General features: G+C 40.2%; 1 long non-coding RNA gene across 1 annotated transcript in view; it reads right to left on the bottom strand.

Moving 5' to 3' along the window:
- LOC124902110 (uncharacterized) overlaps window positions 1-20,311 on the bottom strand; it is a 112,958-nt gene that overhangs the window by 73,006 nt on the left and 19,641 nt on the right. The window contains exon 2 of the long non-coding RNA XR_007061398.1: window positions 19,525-19,659. This is a non-coding gene — a long non-coding RNA (uncharacterized LOC124902110). The remainder of the gene's footprint in view (window positions 1-19,524; window positions 19,660-20,311) is intronic.

Below are 20,311 nucleotides of genomic sequence, written 5' to 3'. Positions count from 1 at the left end.
AGTTGTGTGCCACCACGCCCAGTTAATTTTTGTAGTTTTAGTAGAGACGAGGTTTTGCCATGTTGGCCTGGCTGGTCTCGAACTCCTGACCTCAGGTGATCCCCCCCCACCTCGGCCTCCCAAAGTGCTAGGATTACAGGTGTGAGCGACTACGCCTGGGCTGTCATCTCCTCTTAAAGTCTGGGATCTGCTCTTCATTGGCTCTGACTGCTTTTGTCTTCACTCAATCTGGTTCCTGTCAATGATGGTGTTCAGCAACTGGCTGCATCATGAGCACATTTCATGGTCATCAGATAACTGCTGGGCTCATACTACCAGAGCCTCCTGGTGTCAGAGACCTTTAGAGGTGCTACCTTTGCATTCCCTTATCCCTAATGGGTGACTCTCTCTGAAGTTTCTGCATGGAAACTACATCCCCTTTGTCCCACTGGAAACTTCTTGGATAAGGAGGGATGAGAGCTACAGGTACCAGTGAGCTGGTCCTTGAGCCCACTACTTATGTGGGTTCTTTTTTTGTTTTTGTTTTTTGAGACAGGGTCTCACTCTGCCACCCAGGCTGGAATGCAGTGGTGCGATCTTGGCTCACTGCAACCTTTGTCGCCTGGGTTCAAACGATTCTCCTGCCTCAGCCTCCCAAGTAGCTGGGATTATAGGCACCCGCCACTGCACCTGGCTAATTTTTGTATTTTTAGTAGGGATGGGTTTCACCATCTTGGCCAGGCTGGTCTTGAACTCCTGACCTCGTAATCCACCTGCCTCAGCCTCCCAAAGTGCTGGGATTACAGGCGTGAGCCACCGTGCCCGGCCCTTATGTGGGTTCTTAAGTACTACTGTACATTTAGAAAACCCTGCAAATCTAACATCGGCTCCAGTGCAAATGTGAAGCAAACTTATGATGCTACTGCGCCATTTCTAACTGCCAGGAAGGCTTAGGGAAAGCACTTCATGTCACATGCTGTGTCTCTTGAAAAAGGCATATTTACCCTAACCAGTTGAAAACTGCTGTCAACATAAAATTCGAACACAAAAGTTATAGCAATTACCAAAATCTGGAAGCAATCAAGATGTCTTTTAATAGGTAAATAAACAAACTGTAGTACATCCATACAATGAAATATTATTCATCATTAAAAAGAAATGAGCTATTGAGCCATGAAAAAAACATAAAGAAAGCTTAAATGCATATTGCTAAGTGAACGAAGACAACCCGAGAAGGTTACATGCTACAACTATATGACAACTATATGACATTCTGGAAAAGGAAAAAACTATGGAGACAGTGAAAAGATCAGTGGTTGGCAGGTTTTGGGAAAACGAACGCAGGGGTTTGTTTATAACAGTGGAACAATCATACACTGCATAATGTTTTCATCAATGACAGACCACATATAGCACCAAAGTGGTCCCATAATATTATAACAGAGCTGAAAAATTTCTATTGCCTAGTGACATCACAGCCATCCGAATGTCGTGGCACAACACATGACTCACATGTTTGTAGTGATGTGTTTGCAGTGATGCTGGTGTAAACACACCTACTACACTGCCAGTTGTGTAATGGTATAGCACATACAATTATGTATAGTACAAAATACACAATAATGATAATAAATTATTATATTACTGATTTATGTATTTATGATACTCTACTTTTTATGGCTTTTTTAGAGTGTACTCCTATTTACATATTTTTTAAAAGTTAACTGTAAAATGGCCTCAGGCAGGTTCTTTAGGCGATATCCCAGAAAAAGGCATTGTTATTATAGAAGATGATAGGTTCATGTGTGTTATTTCCTCCAAAGATCTTCCAGTGGGACAAGCTATGGAGGTGGAGGACAGTGATATTAGTGATCCTGACCCTGTGTAGGCCTAGAGTAATGTTTGTGTTTGTGTTTTATTTTTATTTTTTACAAAAATGTTTAAAAAGTTAAAATAATTAAAAATTACAAAAGTAGAAAAAAGCTTATAGAATAAGAATATAAAGATTTTTGTATGGCTGTACAATGTATGTGTGTTTTAAGCTAAGTGTTATTACAAAAGAGCCAAAAAGTTTTTTAAAAATTAAAAGGGTTTTGTTTTGTAAGGGTTTTGTTTTGTGTGGTTTTGTGAGACAGGGTCTCACTCTGTAACCCAGGCTGGAGTGCAGTGGCGTGATCATGGCTCTCTGCACCCTCGACCTTCCCAGGCTCAAGTGATCTTCCTGCCTCAGCCTCCCGAGTAGGTGGGATTACAGGTGCCTGCCACCACACGTGGCTAATTTTTGTATTTTTTGTAGAGACTAGGTGAGACCAGGTCTCACCATGTTGCCCAGGCTGGTCTCAAACTCCTGGGCTCAAGTGATCCTCTTGGTTCAGCCTCCCAAAGTGCTGGAATTATAGGTACGAGTTACTGCACCCAACCAAAAGGTTTATAAAGTAAAAGAATCACAGTAAGCTAAGATTAATTTATTATTGAAGAAAAAATTAAATAAATTTAATGTAGCCTAAGTGTACAGGGTTGATAAAGTATACAGTAGTGTACAGTAATATCCTAGACTTCCATATTCACTTATACTCTCTCACTGACTCACCCAGAGCAACTTCCAGTTCTGCACATTCTATTCATGGTGTGTGCCTTATTCAGGTGCACCATTTTTACCTTTTATGCCATATTTTTGCTGTACCTTTTCTATGTTTAGATATGTTTAGAAACAGAAATACTTACCCTGTGTTGTAATTGCCTATGGTATTCAGTACAGTAACCTGCTGTACAGGTTTATAGCCTAGGAGCAATAGACTATATCATATACCAGCTGTGTAGTAGGTTATATCAACTGGGTTTGTGTAAAGTACTCTCTATGATGTTCACACAACTTGGAAATCTCCAAACGATGCATTTCTCAGAAAGTATTGACACTTGACTGTACTCTGTATGATAATGTAATTATGGATACATGTTACAAAACACTTGTCAAAATCCATAGAATGTACAAAACAAAGAATGACCCTTAATGTAACCTATGGCTTTAGTTAATAATACTGTATCAATATTGGCACATCAATTATAACAAATGTGCCACACTAATGCACAATATTAATAATAGGGAAAGCTGGATTCCTGGGCAACACAGCCAATTAGGAACAGCTCCGGTCTTCACCTCCCAGCGAGATCAATGCAGAAGGCAGGTGATTTCTGCATTTCTGGCTGAGGTACCCGGCTCATCCCATTGGGGCTGGTTAGACAGTGGGTACAGCCCACGGAGGGCGAGCTGAAGCAGGGTGGGGTGTCGCCTCACCCAGGAAGCACAAGGGGTTGCAGAACTCCCTCCCCTAGCTAAGGGAACCTGTGAAAGACTGTGCCATGAGGAACAGTGTCTTCTGGCCCAGATACTATGCTTTTCCCATGGTCTTCACAACCAACAGACCAGGAGATTCCTTCGGTGGCTACACCACCAGGGCCCTGGGTTTCAAGCACAGAACCGGGCGGCCATTTGGGCAGACACTGAGCAAGCTGCAGGAGTTTTTCTTCATACCACAGTGGTGCCTAGAATGCCAGCAAGACAGACCCATTCACTCCCCTGGAAAGGGGGCTGAAGCCAGGGAGCCAAGTGATCCGATCCCACCCCCATGGAGCTCTTCAAGGTAAGATCCACTGGCTTGAAATTCTCGCTGCCAGCACAGCAGTCTGAAGTCAACCGGGGACACTCGAGCTTGGTGTGGGGATGGGAGTCCGCCAGTACTGAGGCTTGAGTAGGCGGTCTTCCCCTCATAGGGTAAACAAAACCATTTGGAAGTTTGGACTGGGCAGAGCCCACCACAGCTCCGCAAAGCTGCTGTAGCCAGACTGCCTCTCTAGATTCCTCCTCTCTGGGCAGGGCATCTCTGAAAGAATTGCAGTAGCCCCAGTCAGGGGCTTATAGTTCAAACTCCCATCTCCCTGGGACAGAGCATGTGGGGGAAGGGGCGGCTGTGGGAGTACCTTCAGCAGACTTAAACATTCCTGCCTGCTGGCTCTGAAGACAGCAGCAGATTTCCCAGCACAGCGCTCAAGCTCTACTAAGGGACAGACTGCCTCCTGAAGTGGTTCCCTGACCCCCATGCCTCCTGACTGGGAGACACCTCCCAGCAGGGGTCTACAGACACCTCATACAGGAGAGCCCTGGCTGGCATCTGGCGGGTGCATCTCTGAAACAAAACTTCCAGAGGAAGGAACAGGCAGCAATCTTTTCTATTCGGCAGCCTCTGCTGGTGATACCCAGGCAAACAGGGCCGGGAGTGGACCTACAGCAAACTCCAGCAGACATGCAGAAGAGGGGCCTGACTATTGGAAGGAAAACTAACAGAAAGAAATAGCATCGATATCAACAAAAAGGACATCCACACAAAAACCCCATTGGAAGGTCACTAGCATCAAAGACCAAAGGTAGATAAACTTACAAAGATGAGGAAAAACCAGCACAAAAAGCCTGAAAATTCCAAAAACCAAAACACCTCTTCTCCTAGAAAGGGTCACAACTCCTCGCCAGCAAGGGAACAGAACAGTATGGAGAATGAGTCTGATGAATTGACAGAAGTAGGCTTCAGAAGGTGGGTAATAACAAACTGCTCCAAGCTAAAGGAGCATGTTCTAACCCAATGCAAGGAAGCTAAGAACTTTGAAAAAAGGTTAGAGGAATTGCTAACTAGAATAACCAGTTTAGAAAAGAATATAAATGACCTGATGGAGCTGAAAAACAGCACAAGAACTTTGTGAAGCATAGACAAGTATCAATAGCCGAATCGACCAAGGGGAAGAAAGGATATCAGAGACCGAAGGTCAGCTTAATGAAATAAAGCATGAAGACAAGATTTGAGAAAAAAGAGTGAAAAGGAATGAACAAAGCCTCCAAGAAATATGGGACTATGTGAAAAGACCAAACCTGCGTTTGATTGGTGTACCTGAAAGTGACAGGGAAAATGAAACCCAGTTGGGAAACACTCTTCAAGATATTATCCAGGAGAAATTCCCCAACCTAGCAAGACAGGACAACATTCCCCAACCTAGCAAGACAGGCCAACATTCAAATTCAGGAAAAAAAGAGAATAGCACAAAGATACTCGTCAAGAAGAGCAACCCCAAGACACATAATCGTCAGATTCACCAAGGTTGAAATGAAGGAAAAATTGTTAAGGGCAGCCAGAGACAAAGGGCAGGTTACCTACAAAGGGAAGCCAATCAGACTAACAGCAGATCTCTCTACAGAAACCCTACAAGCCAGAAGAGAGTGGGGGACAATATTCAACATTCTTAAAGAAAAGAATTTTCAACCCGGAATTTCATATCCAGCCAAACTAAGCTTTGTAAGCAAAAGATAAATAAAATCCTTTACAGACGAGCAAATGCTAAGGAATTTTGTCACCACCAGGCCTGCCTTACAAGAGATCCAGAAGGAAGCACTAAATATGGAACGGAAAAACCAGTACTAGCCACTGAAAAAACAAACCAAAATGTAAAGAACATCAACACTATGAAGACACTGCATCAACTAATGGGCAAAATAACCAGCTAGCATCCTAATGACAGGATCAGATTCACACATAACAATATTACCCTTAAATGTAAATGGGCTAAATCTCACAATTAAAAGACACAGACTGGAAAATTGGATAAAGAGTCAACACCCATAGGTGTGTTGTATTCAGGAGACACATCTCATGTGCAAAGGCACACATAGGCTCAAAATAAAGGGATGGAAGAATATTTACCAAGCAAATGGAAAGGAAAAAAAGAGCAGGGTTGCAATCCTAGTCTCTGATAAAAGAGACTTTAAACCAACAAAGATTAAAAAAGACAAAGAAGGGTATTACATAATGGTAAAGGGATCAATGCAAAAAGAAGAGCTAACTCTCCTAAATATATATGCACCAATACAGGAGCATCCAGATTCATAAACCACATTCTTAGGGACCTACAAAGAGACTTAGACACCCACAAAATAATAGTGGGAGACTTCAATACCCCACTGTCAATATTAGACAGATCAACAAGACAGAAAATTAACAAGGATATGCAGGATTTGAACTCAGCTCTGGACCAAGTGGCCCTAATAGACAGCTACAGAACTCTCCACTCCAAATCAACAGAATGTACATTCTTCTCAGCACTACATTGCACTTAGTCTAAAATCGGCCACATAATTGGAAGTAAAACACTCCTCAGGAAAGGCAAAAGAATGGAAATCATAACAAACAGTTTCTCAGACCACAGTGCAATCAAATTAGAACTCAGGATTAAGAAACTCACTCAAAACTGCACAACTACATGGAAACCGAACAACCTGCTCATGAATGACTACTGGGTACATAACGAAATTAAGTCAGAAATAAATAAGTTCTTTGAAACCAATGAGAACAAAGACACAATATACCAGAATCTCTGCGACACAGCTAAAGCAGTGTTTAGAGGGAAATTTATGGCACTAAATGCCCACATGAGAAAGTGGGAAAGATCTAAAATAGACACTCTAACATCACAATTAAAAGAACTAGAGAAGCAAGATCAAACAAATTCAAAAGCTAGCAGAAGACAAGAAATAACTAAGATCAGAGCAGAACTGAAGGAAGTAGAGACACCAAAAACCCTTCAAAAAATCAATGAATCCAGGAGCTGGTTTTTTGAAAAGATTAGCAAAATAGACCACTAGCCAGACTAATAAAGAAGAAAAGAGAGAAGAATCAAATAGATGCAATAAAAAATGATAAAGGGGAGATCACCACTGATCCCACAGAAATACAAACTACCACCAGAGAATACTATAAACACCTCTACACAAATAAACTAGAAAATCTTGAAGAAATGGATAAATTGCTGGACACATACACCCTCCCAAGACTAAACCAGGAAGAAGTCGAATCCCTGAATAGATCAATAACAAGTTCTGAAATTTAGGCAGTAATTAATAGCCTACCAACCAAAAAAAGCCCAAAACCAGATGGCTTCACAACTGAATTCTACCAGAGGTACAGAGAGGAGAAGGAATGGTACCATTCCTTCTGAAACTATTCCAAACATTAGAAATAGAGGGAATCCTCCCTAACTCATTTTATGAGGCCGGCATCATCCTGATACCAAAACCTGGCAGAGACACAACAAAAAAGAAAATTTCGGGCCAATATCCCTGATAAACACTGAAGCAAAAATCCTCAATAAAATGCTGGCAAACAAAATCCAGCAGCACATCAAAAAGCTTATCCATCATGATCAAGTCGGCTTCATTCCTGGGTTGCAAGGCTGGCTCAACATACACAAATCAATAAACATAATCCATCACAGAAACAGAACCAACGATAAAAACCACATGATTATCTCAATAGATGCAGAAAAGGCCTTCAATAAAATTCAACAGCTCTTTATGCTAAAAACTCTCAATAAACTAGGCATTGATGGAACATATCTCAAAATAATAAGAGCTATTCATGACAGACCCACAGCCAATATCATACTGTGTAGGCAAAAGCTAGAAGCATTCTCTTTGAAAACTGGCACAAGAAAAAGATGCCCTCTCTCACCACTCCTATTCAACATAGTATTGGAAGTTCTGGCTGGAACAATCAGTCAAGAGAAAATAAATAAAGGGTATTCAGATAGGAAGAGAGGAAGTCAAATTGTCTCTGTTTGCAGACGACATAATTGTGTATTTAGAAAACCCCATCATTTCAACCCAAAATCTCCTTAAGCTGATAAGCAACTTCAGCGAAGTCTCAGGATATAAAATCAATGTGCAAAAATCACAAGCGTTCCTATTATACACCAATAATAGACAAACAGAGAGCCAAATCATGAGTGAACTCTCATTCATAATTGCTACAAAGAGAATAAAATACCTAGGAATACAACTTACAAGGGATGTGAAGGACCACTTCAAGGAGAACTACAAACCACTGCTCAAGGAAATAAGAGAGGACACAAACTAATGGAAAAACACTCCATGCTCATGGATAGGAAGAATCAATATCGTGAAAATGGCCATACTGGTAGATTCAATGCCATCTCCATCAAGCTACCATTGACTTTCTTCACAGAATTCAAAAAAACTACTTTAAATTTCATATGGAACCAAAAAAGAGTCCATATAGCCAATACAATCCTAAGCAAAAAGAACAAAGCTGGAGGCATCACACTACCTGACTTCAAACTATACTGCAAGCCTACAGTAACCAAAACAGCATGGTACTTGTACCAAAACAGATATATAGACTAATGCAACAGAACAGAGGCCTCAGAAATAATGCCACACATCTACAGCCATCTGATCTTTGACAAACCCGACAAAAACAAGCAATGGGGAAATGATTCCTTATTTAATAAATGGTGTTGGGAAAACTGGCTAGCCATATGCAGAAAACTGAAACTGGACCCCTTCCTTACACCTTATACAAAAATTAACTCAAGATGGATTAAAGATTTAAATGTAAGACCTAAAATCATAAAAACCCTAGAAGAAAACCTAGGCAATACCATTTGGGATGCAGGCATAGGAAAAGACCTCATGACTAAAACACCAAAAGTAATGGCAACAGAAGCCAAAATTGACAAATGAGATCTAATTAAACTAAAGAGCTTCTGCACAGCAAAATCAACTATCATCAGAGTGAACAGGCAACCTACAGAATGGGAGAAAATTTTTGCAATCTATTCATCTGAAAAAGGGCTAATATCCAGAAGCTACAAGGAACTTAAACAAATTTACAATAAAAAAACAACCCCATCAAAAAGTGGGCAAAGGATATGAACAGACACTTCTCAAAAGAAGATATTTATGCAGCCAAAAAACATATGGAAAAAAAGCTCATCATCACTGGCATTAGAGAAATGCAAATCAAAACCACAATGGGATACCATCTCACTCCAGTTAGAATGGGGATCATTAAAAAGTCAGGAAACAACAGATGCTGGAGAGGATGTGGAGAAATAGGAACATTTTTACACTGTTGGTGGGAGTCTAAATTAGTTCAACCATTGTGGAAGTCAGTGTGGCGACTCCTCAAGGATCTAGAACCAGAACTACCATTTGACCCAGCAATCCCATTACTGGCTGTATACCCAAAGGATTATAAATCATTCTACTATAAAGACACATGCACATGTATGTTTATTGCAGCACTATGCACAATAGCAAAGACTTGGAACCACCCCAAATGCCCATCAATGTTAGACTGGATGAAGAAAATGTGGCAAATATATACCATGGAATACTATGCAGCCATAAAAAAGAATGAGTTCATCTCCTTTACAGGGACATGGATGAAGCTGGAAACCATTATTCTCAGCAAACTAACACAGGAACAGAAAACCAAACACCGCATGTTCTCACTCATAAGCGGGAGTTGAACAATGAGTACACATGGACACAGGGAGGGCAACATCACACACAGGGGCCTTTCGGGGGGTGAGGGGCTAGGGGAGGGATAGCATTAGGAGAAATACCTAGTGAAGATGATGGGTTGATGGGTGCAGCAAACCACCATGGCACATGTTTATCTATGTAACAAACCTGCACCTTCTGCACATGTATCCCAGAACTTAAAGTATATATATATGAATATTCCCACCAAACTCTTTACACCTCTGGGTTTGATACTGGCTCTCAACTAGGGGATTCTGCTAAGGGACAGAGTGCTTGGTAACAGGGTGGCTGTGTCACAGCAGCCAGCATAAATCCAATGACTGAAAGAAAGAACCATCATTTACTAAAAAATAAAAATAATAACAAAATAACAGGGAAAACTGGTGGGAGGAATGAGGGAGAATGTGGGAACTCTCTGTACCTTCCACTCAATATTTCTATAGCAAACTGCTAAAAAAACACTATTAGTTCTTTTTAAAAAGCATGAAACAGATTTTCATTGGGATTCCATTACTGTATTTTTCTCCCCACACTATCTTTCCAGGGTTTCAGGTTTAAAAGTGAGTCAAGACTTTGATCTCCTACCTTCCCCAAACCCCTCTCCAAAAGACTGAAGGGCTATCTTTTACTTCCCCTTACTGGCTTTTAGGAGCTTTACTTATGTCACATCCTCCTCCTTCCTCAGGAGATATTTGCCCCACCTCCAACCTCTTCTACTAAGAGATAAAGATGTAAGACAACAGTGAAAGGAGCTATGCTGTCAATAAGGAGGATTAGTGAATTATATTATTATTATACACATCTTATTCCTAATTGTACAAGTGGAAAAATCTTTTTTTTTTTTTTTTTTTTTTTTTGAGACGGAGTCTCGCTCTGTCGCCCAGGCTGGAGTGCAGTGGCGCAATCTTGGCTCACTGCAACCTTGCCTCCCGGGTTCAAGTGATTCTCCTGCCTCAGCCTCCTGAGTGGCTGGGGTTACAGGTCAGCACCACCAGGCCCAGCTAATTTTTGTATTTTTAGTAGAGACGGGGTTTCACCATGTTGATCAGGCTTGTCTTCAACTCCTGACCTTGTGATCCGCCGGCCTTGGCCTCCCAAAGTGTTGGGATTACAGGCGTGAGCCAGCGCACCTGGCCGAAAAATCTTTATAACATAATGTAGAGCAAGTTAGTATGCCTGTAAACATAATTATAAACTTTGGAGGATTTTCTGAAATGTAAGATACATATAAGCAGCACACAAAATATATGGGTACATGTGATGGTTAATATTAGGTGTCAACTTGATTGAAGGATGCCTAGATAGCTGGTAAAGCATTGTTTCTGGGTGTGTCTATGAGGGTGTTGCCAGAGGAGACTGACATTTGAGTCAGAGGACTGGGAGAGGAAGACCCATCCTCCATGTGGGTGGCCACCATGCAATTGGCTGCCAGCGCATCTGGAACAAAGCAGGAGGAAGAAGGTGGGATAAGCTGGCTTGCTGAGTCTCCTGGCTTTCATCTTTCTCCCGTGCTAGATGCTTCCTTCCATTCCTCCCGCCCTAGGACATGAGACTCGAGGTTCTTCCGCCTTCGGACTCTCGGAGTTACACCAGTTGTTTGCTGGGGGCTCTCAGCCTTTGGCCACAGCCTGAAGGCTGCACTGTTACCTTTCCTGCTTTGGACTGAGCCACTACTGGCTTCTTTCTTCCTCAGCTTACAGACGGCCTATTGTGGGATTTCACCTTGTGATCCTGTGAGCCTATTCTCCCTAATGAACTCCCTTTCATATATACATATATCCTACTAGTTCTGTCCCTCCGGAGAACCCTAATACAGTACAGTTTAATGAATAATCATAAAGCAAATAACTGTGTAACCACCAACCAAGTAAATAAATGGAACATTTCCACCATCCTCATCCCTACCCCATATGCCTCTCTCTGATCATAACTCTCTTCCTATCCTCTCTGGAAAACCACTATTTTAAAGGTTTGATAATCATTTCCTTGTTTTTTTAATATTCACAGAATTTTAAAACTGAAAAAGATCTGAAGATTTTGTCCCACACGTTTCAGATGAGGACTTTTAAGTCAAGAGACCTAATACCTTTCCCAAAGTCACAGAAACTGGTAACGAAGGATCAGAAACCAACCATTCTGACCTCCAGAGATACTTGATGTATATAACATTCTCTACTTACATAATGCTCTGTATATAGTGCATTAGGAACACAGAGAAGTGTGTGTGTGTGTGTGTGTGTGTGTGTTGGAAAGTTGGTAGTAATAATAATAGCTATACTTTATTAAGGGCTCATTATGTACCTTATAACAATCCTCTGTATTGTATGTTAAATATCATTACTTATTTGTTTATTCCTGTTTTACAGATGAGGAAGTTGAGACTTGGAGATATTAAGTTGCCAAAAGTCAGATAATTAGTATGCAGGAAGATCTGGATTCCAATTTAGTCTTGTCTGACTCCAAAGCTTGGGCTCTTGTGCATGTTGTTTTCACTTAAAACACTTAATTATTTTATTACTATAAAAGTGATGCATTCTTATGGTCAAAAAAGTTCTAAAAGTGGCATCAGTTAGGAATGGGCTTGTCCACATGAGCAGAAAAACCCTGTAAATAACGTAGAGTGAGAGAAGTTTATTTGGTTCACAGAGTAAGAAGACTAGGCAGGGGTAGAGGTGGGGTGGGGAGGTAGGTAGAATAGGGCCATTTATGGCAGCTCAATGATAACATTAGGGACCCATTTTCTATTTTCTCACTCCATTGTCCTTAGTGTGTACACCTTTGCCCTCAGGATTTTCATATCAAGGTGGCAAAAAGCCACTCTGTCTCCAGGTATTGCATCAGCATTCCAGGTGGGAAGTGGAAGGGAGAAGGAAGCAGGAAGGTGCCCTTACAAGGAAAACAATAGCTTTTCAATAAACCCGTAACTTATGCCTCATTGTCCACAGTCGTGACACATGGCCACCCTCAAACAGCAAGGGAGCCTGGAGAAGTATTTTTAGAAAAGCACACACTGCTACTCCAACAAAATTGGAATCCTGCTATTAGGGATGAAAGAATAGATTTGGAGTAGGCAATTAGCACTGTCTTCCACAAACACCATAAAAGTTTATTAATTGAAACTTACAGGTCTTTCTACTACTTCTGACTATCATCCTCCTCTCATGTGATAATCACAGTTGATTTTTTGAGTCACGTTTAAGCGACAGAATGGACACGTATGGAAGAGACTGGAACAACTTCAGTGGGGCAAAGGGGATATGTGCAAAGAAAAAAAATAGAGTTGAGTCTGAGCAAGAAAATTGAGATGAATTAGGCATGAATTGACAATGGCTCTTACAGATTAGGCAGACGAGTTTGGCTACTATACAAAGACTAAGAAAGCCACTGTAAATGTTGCACAGAAGAGTGAAATGTTTCTATAACAAGAGAATACATATCTGTTGTCATACTGAGATTCTTAATCCCTTTCCGAGCTAAGTCAATATAGTTATCAACACTTTGCTGCTTACCACCTCCAGAGCAACATGCCAGAGAATATGAATAGATCACTGGAGCATGATTCACCATTAATTAACAGCATTATTCTTTTTGGTGATTTATAAAAGACAAAGGAACAATTACTGTTTAACTAGAAATCTGTGTAGACATGAATGTCTCTTCTTTTCTAAGTTGATTCTGCTACTAGTGTCTTTTTAAAAGCCATATGGATATGGTTTAAGCTTTAAAATGATCAGCTAATTCTATTCAAGCTCAGTGTATAATTCATTAGAAAATACTTCCTTTCCTACCACCAAAATGCCTCAGGGAATATATATATTTTCACTCATTTGAATTGTGTCAGCAGTGTTACAAAAGAACTTCTTTCAGATGACATGAAAAAGAGTTTACATGACTTTCCCGAAATATTTTTAGATAGTGTTTAGTGTTACTGGGAGCTTTCAGTACCAAAAATTATTTGGAAAGTCAATAACTTGTTCTAATTCTTAAGCAACTTGAGTTTTTTAAGGAAGCTCCTGTTCTGATATTTCAGGAGGTAATTTTTCTATGATTCTGCTTGTACATGCTTTCTTCTGTAATCACAAAGTTTTGATCTTACTGCATTTTGGGACCACCCTAACATTTGAAACTTCTTAATTTGAAGACATTTTTTCTTTACAGTTTTTTATTTTGCTTTTTTCCTGTAGGAAATCATGAAAACAAACAATAACAACAAAAAATGGCTGGGCACGGTGGCTCACACCTGTAATCCCAGCACGTTGGGAGCCTGAGGTGGTGGATTACTTTAGGTCAGGAGTTCAAGACCAGCCTGGCCAACATGGTGAAACCCTGTCTCTACTAAAAAATGTACAAAAATTGGCTGGGCATGGTGGCATGCACCTGTAATCCTGGAGGCTGAAGCAGGAGAATCACTTGAACCCGGAAGGCAGAGATTGAAAGATGGTCTCACTGTACTCCAGCCTGGGCAACAGAGACTCTGTCTAAATAATAATAATAATAATTATTATTATTATAGAAGCATTTCCTCTTCTGGCTTTCTTAATAACTTTGAATATAAAAGTTAACTTTTGTTTACACATTTCACTTATTTTTTACCAACTAACTTTAATATTATTTACTGTACAAGGGTCCACTAGTTTCTCAAATTTATCTACCTTGTTGATTTTATATTAATAAATTTGGATAACAACTGGTCATATTGATAGCAGTAAGATTAATTTATATCCTACCAGCCTATAGTGCAGGATAATTTGGCCCAAGGGTAGATTGGATTTTACCTTTGAACTAAATATGTAAAACTGTAAATATTATTTCAATACAGATACCATCTACTTAAGAAAACATATTTTCTGTCACTATAAAATTACTTCAGTAATAGCCATTTAAGGTCTTTTTTAAAACAAATTTTTGAGACAGGTTCTCACTTTGTTGCCCAGGCTGGGGTGCAGTGATATGACCTTGGCTCACTGCAGCCTTGACCTCCTGGGCTCAAGTAATCCTTCCACCTCAGCCCCCCAGGTAGTTGGGACTACAGGCACATGCCACCACACCTGGCTTATTTTTGTATGTTTTGTAGAGACAGGGATTTGCCATGTTGCCCAGACTGGTCTTGAACTCCTGTGATGGTAAGATCTTAGTAAAAACATGCCATCTTTCTTAATAAGAATAAAAGCTAAACGAAACAAATAACTCTAAAATAAAAAAGGTTAGAGTCTCTGGAGTTGAAACTCAAAGTAAAATTTCCTTTGGGACAGAGAACTGGACCACATAGTCCTGATTCTATCCTTTAGACTTGACTTTCTTTAATGTCTAACACTAATTAATGCTGCCATCACCAAAAATCTAGCCTCAGACATGAGCTGCTCGTTCCTTAACAGTCTGCCCTAAGGATGACCTGTAATCCTTTGTTTAATATAAGAAAACAGAGCTAAGACTGATTTAAAAAAAATTGTTTTTAAAAATTGAAGAACCAAAAGAAAACTAGGTGATCTGACTCCGAAAATTTAGCTTTTTCTCTAGGTTTGCAGGTACATTCCAATTCTGTGGAAGCCCAATATTATAGGGTTAAAGCTAGTTGCTGTATCAGATAAACCCTAACATCTCAGAAGACTAACGCAACAGAGGAGTATTTCTTGTTGTCCCCTGGCTCTTTTTACCCTGTACTGAGCCATCTTGCACATATCTTCTATGATGTCTACCTATATTATGTCAGATGGAGAAAAGCCCTGGAGACTTGCCCCTGTTGTTGGAGGCTGGGTAGCAGTTATGGGACGTGTAGCAGTTGCAGCGATGGAAAGCACTGAAGACAAAGGCAGGAGCTACAGAGCCGCCCTTTGCTCTTCAAGGTAAGGGAAGCCCTTGATTAGAGGTGGGATCTATACCACCCTACATTGGGCTACTCCACGCTACATTCTCATCGAACCTTAAAACCTAGCAAGTCATCCACTTGAAATCAGTGGTCTTGACACAACATCTAATATCTTTCAATCCCTTCTTCTAATATAAATGCTGTATTTAGCTCACAAAAATGTTGACCTATTTCTTTGTTCTTGCACTGTGAAGTTTGAGTGAGTATTCAAACTTTGTCACAGTCTGTCGTGTTCTATTTGAAAGAAAAAAAAGTTTGACTGATGTTGCGCAGGATTACATCTGGAATGAGTGAGATAAAATTTCCTCGTGCTCCTTCTGACCATTTGGTAGGCAAGTTAAAATTGCTTTGCAGTCCCCAGAGTTGTGGGTGGGAGAACACGCAGTTCTTAAAAGAGCTTACAAGCTTCTCTCCTTGCATGTAGATCTGCCTCTCTTTTCACTTGTCAGGGTCTAGAGGCACTTGTCTTAGTAAGACTAATGACTACTTTTCTTGGGCCTATTTGGAACAAGAGAACACACACCCTTGCCAGTAGTTATTTTAGTGTTTTTCCTCGCCATTTTTCCTTCTCTTTGAAACTTGAGGGGTCCTTATTCGTGAGCTGGAATAAGGCCCTAAAACTAATTTGAAATAATTAGCTGAATACAACTTTTATCAAGCCATGGTTATTCGATGTCTAGTGTAGTCATATAGCATTGAAGTCACAGGAAACAATCATTATCTAGGATTATGCTAAAATCTCCAAACACAAAAATTAGAAAAAGGATAAGACATAATACCTTGTGAAAGTCAAACCTGGATGCAAAATAAGAATGAATTAGGAAAAACATTTTCTTTAAATATGCCATGCATGAGTAACTATCTTGAAAACTGTCACATGATAATGATTATCAGAAGCAAAGAGGCAGTTAACTGCATAAAGTATTGAGAAAGACAAAAATAATGTTTTATCTATATATGTAATACTGTCTAGACAAGAGAATAGCCTGATTCTAGTTGACTGACCCCAGATTTTACTAAAGAACTATCCTGAAAGGACAAAAGCATAACAAAACAGGCCACATTTAATTGACATGAATTTCCTGGGTACGACACTCAAGTGTCCTCACTTACTACTCCCTAAGCAACTTGTTGGAAAATAATTATTGTATTTTTGTTTATTTATTTATTTTGAGAGGGAGTCTCACTCTGTTGCCCAGGCTGGAGTGCAGTGGTGCGATCTTGGCTAACTGCAACCTCTGCCTCCCGGGTTCAAGTGATTCTCCTGCCTCAGTCTCCTGCGTAGCTGGGACTACAGACATGCACCTCCACATCCAGCTAGTTTTTGTATTTTCAGTAGAGACGGGGTTTCATTATGTTGGCCAGGCTGGCCTGGAACTCCTGACCTCGTGATCTGCCCATCTCAGCCTTTCAAAGTGCTGGGATTACAGGTGTGAGCCACCATGCCCAGCCGGAAAATGCTAATTTATTAATTAAACAAATGTTTATTGAAATTTTACTTTTGTGGTAGATACTTGTCTCTTGATTTTTAGGAGCTTTTTAACCACTGGGAGAAACAGATAAAGAAAAGATCATATCAGAGATGGATGTGGCTATGATGATATAAGCACAAATGCACATGGAAAGGCATCTCAAATCAGCCTAGGGAATTGGTGAAGGCCAATGGTGGTAACAAGCTCAAACTCTGGAGTCAGACCCTCTGGGCTTAATTCTCCATTCCATAACTTAATTGTTGCATGACCTCATGCAAATCAATTCATCTCTCTAAACATGAATTTATTAATCTGTAAAACAAGGAAAAGAGAGGCAGCTTTCCTAATGAGGTTTAAATGAGATTATGTATTAGAGCATTTGGCATAGTGCCTGGAGACTGTAAATGCTCAATTTATGTTGGTGATTGCTATTTACAGAAGAGATGGTGCTTGAACTGGGCTATGGAATAAGTAGGAGTTAGAGAATAGGGAGGCAGCAGAGGGCATTTCAGGGAGAGGCAATGACATCTGATAGGCACAGAGACATGAAACAGTATAACATCTCTCGGTGACAAGTGGTTTATACCTATTCAAATTTAGTTTATTTTCCTAAAACCAAATATGCCTTCATAGTTTGCATGTAAATAACTTTTAAAAAAAGTTTCCTACAAACACGTGTAAATCTCTCAGGAATTCCTTCAGACATAACTTTCTCCCAACCCTCCTCATTCATTGGTTCACCAATGGGTTCAATTTGGCTTCCTACCTTGGTTTCTGCTCTTATTCTAACTCTCAAATTTGCGTTGTTTACTGCAGACCTGACTCTGCACTTCCAGGGGACACACATCCTGGTGTTTGCCTACTGATAGTATAGTAGAGATATGCCTTACCATAGAACCTCAGCCATCCTCCTGCATACTCCCTAGCCTGCCCTGCCACTGATCTTGCACCACCAGACAGGGAGGATGACTGGACCATTTTTTAGAAAAGTAGGCTGGTACCAAATTACAATGAGCTTTCTATGTTCAGCTTAGGAATCTGGACATTTTCCTAAAAGTTATGAAAAATTGCTAAAAATTGTCTAGAGGAAAGACATGATCAGATTTCTATTTTAAGATCATTCTAGTAGGAGTTTCCAGATTACAGATAGAAAAAATCACGGGAAATGTCTCCTCAGCTAATCCCAGTGAGATGGGACCTGTTCAAAAACAGTGGCAGCAGGGAAGAAGGAAAAGCAGTGAGAACGAGTGAGACTAAGAAAGCAGAATGTCCTGAACTTGGAGACTGGATTGGCTAAGAAAGTTAAGTTATAGAGAGGTGTCTAGGATTACTACCAGATTTCCAACTCAGGCGACCAGAGGGGTAGTGATTCCAATTATCAAGAAAAGGAATACAGGAAACAAACATTAAATTGGAGCATAAAAGTAATAAGGCCAAATTTTGGATATTTTAAATCGAAGTTGATTATGGGACATCCAAATGGAGATGCCCATTAGCAGGGAAGTCTGGGATTCTTGAACAGTCAGATTTTTTTATTTTTATTTTTTGAGACAGAGTCTTGCCCTGTCACCCAGGCTGGAGTGCAGTGGCATGATCTCGGCTCACTGCAACCTCTGTCTTCCCTGGTTCAAGCGATGCTCCTGTCTCAGCCTCCCAAGTAACTGGGATTACAGGTGTGTGCCACCATGCCCATCTAATTTTTGTAGTTTTGGTAGATATAGGGTTTCATCATGTTGGCCAGACAGATTTTTGATTTAACATGTGGAAGGAATGTGCTTTATGAAGATGAGGATTCTTGTTTTCAGACAAATATATGTATCTTCCATTAGAAATGAGTAATTCTTCTGTTCTAGAAATCACTGTCTGGTGATTTTGGATGCATGCTTAAATCCTAGAGGGCCTGATTATCATTGGATTAACTGACTGAATCATTCTAAAAGGTATAGCTATCATACACTTCACCTTCTACTATATTAGTTTGCTCTATTATTTATTTATTTAGAGATGGAGTCTCACTCTGTCTTCCAGGCTGGAGAGCAATGGCACAATCTCAGCTCATTGCAACCTCCGCCTCGTGGGTTCAAACAATTCTCTTGCCTCAGCCTCCCAAGTAGCTGGGACTACAGGTGTGTGCCACCACACCTGGCTAATTTTTTGTATTTTTAGTAGAGACGGGGTTTCACCGTGTTAATCAGGATGGTCTTGATCTCCTGACTTCATGATCTACCTGCCTTGGCCTCCCAAAGCGCTGGGATTACAGGCATGAGCCACCGCACCCAGCCAGTTTGCTCAGTTTATATAACCACTGGTACCCTAGAGAGGTAGCTTGGCAAATACAGGCCCTTGTCTGAGTGTGTATCCTGACAATTAGTTACTAACTTACGGCCTTGGCAAAATTATTTAAGTTTCTGGTCCTCATTTTCTCACTATGTAAAAATGAGAACTGTAATAGTACCTGTTTTATCGTGTTGTGACGACTGAGTTAACTCACAGAGCAATGACTGGCACAAAGAAAACCCTCAATAAATGTTAGTTATAATTATTGTCCAAGATAATACAGTCAAACTCCATTGTAAAGCATCTCACTTAATTATTGCATAATTTTAGTTTCACATCAGCAAAATCGTACCCATCATGAGCACAGGCATAAATCACTGTAAATTTATAAGCTGCACTGATTTTTTGAAAATATTTTTAACAGTGAAGATTTTATATATATGCCACATTAATAACAGTATACATATTGAGAGATATAAACACAAGAGGAATACAGCCACAAGTGTGATTAAAATGAACACGTGTTAAAAGTATTTAAATCATACCTTGGATTTACATAGTTTTTTTTTTTTTGAGACAGGGTCTCACTCTGTGGCACAGGGTCCCACTCTGTCATCCCAGGTAGAATGCAGTGGCACGATCACAGCTTATTGTAACCTTGAACCACTGGATGCCCCTGCCTTTTTAAAAAAAGACCAAAATATTTTGTAAGTTTACATTTTTTTTAACATTTGAAAAATTCAATAGCGTTTCAAAAAATTTTTCAGCAGCCTTCTAAAGGTAGTTTATCATGCTTAACTTCACACACACATACACACACGAGCCATACAAACACACCTTGCCATGGTGAAACACAATTACATTAATTAGATCATAAAAGCCCATTTATATGGAGAAATTTTGCTTTAATGAATAATTATTTCATCAGAAATTTATTGTATTAAAATTTTTAAATAAGGTCCAGAATGTATACAAATTCAAGTTCTAGCTTGTGTCAGAGTACGATCTTTCTATATTCACTTTTACTAATAGAAAGTAGAATGTAGAATTGGGAGGTCGAGGCAGGCAGATAATTTGAGGTCAGGGGTTTGAGACCAGCTTGATCCACATAATGAAACTCCATCTCTACTAAAATACAAAAATTAGCCAGGCGTGGTGGCGGGCACCTGTAGTCCCAGCTACTCGGGAGGCTGAGGCAGGAGACTCGCTTGAACCCAGGAGGCAGAGGTTGCAGTGAGCCGAGATTGCACCACTGCACTCCAGCCTGTGCAACAGACCAAGACTCCCTCTCAAAAAAAAAAAAAAAAAAAAGAAAAGAAAAAGAAAGTAGAA

This window comes from Homo sapiens, chromosome 9 (assembly GCF_000001405.40).
Source record: "Homo sapiens chromosome 9, GRCh38.p14 Primary Assembly".
In the NCBI taxonomy this organism is placed as follows: Eukaryota; Metazoa; Chordata; class Mammalia; order Primates; family Hominidae; genus Homo; species Homo sapiens.
The sequence above is the reverse complement of the archived record's forward strand: the minus strand, read 5'-3'. Positions and strand labels throughout refer to the sequence as shown.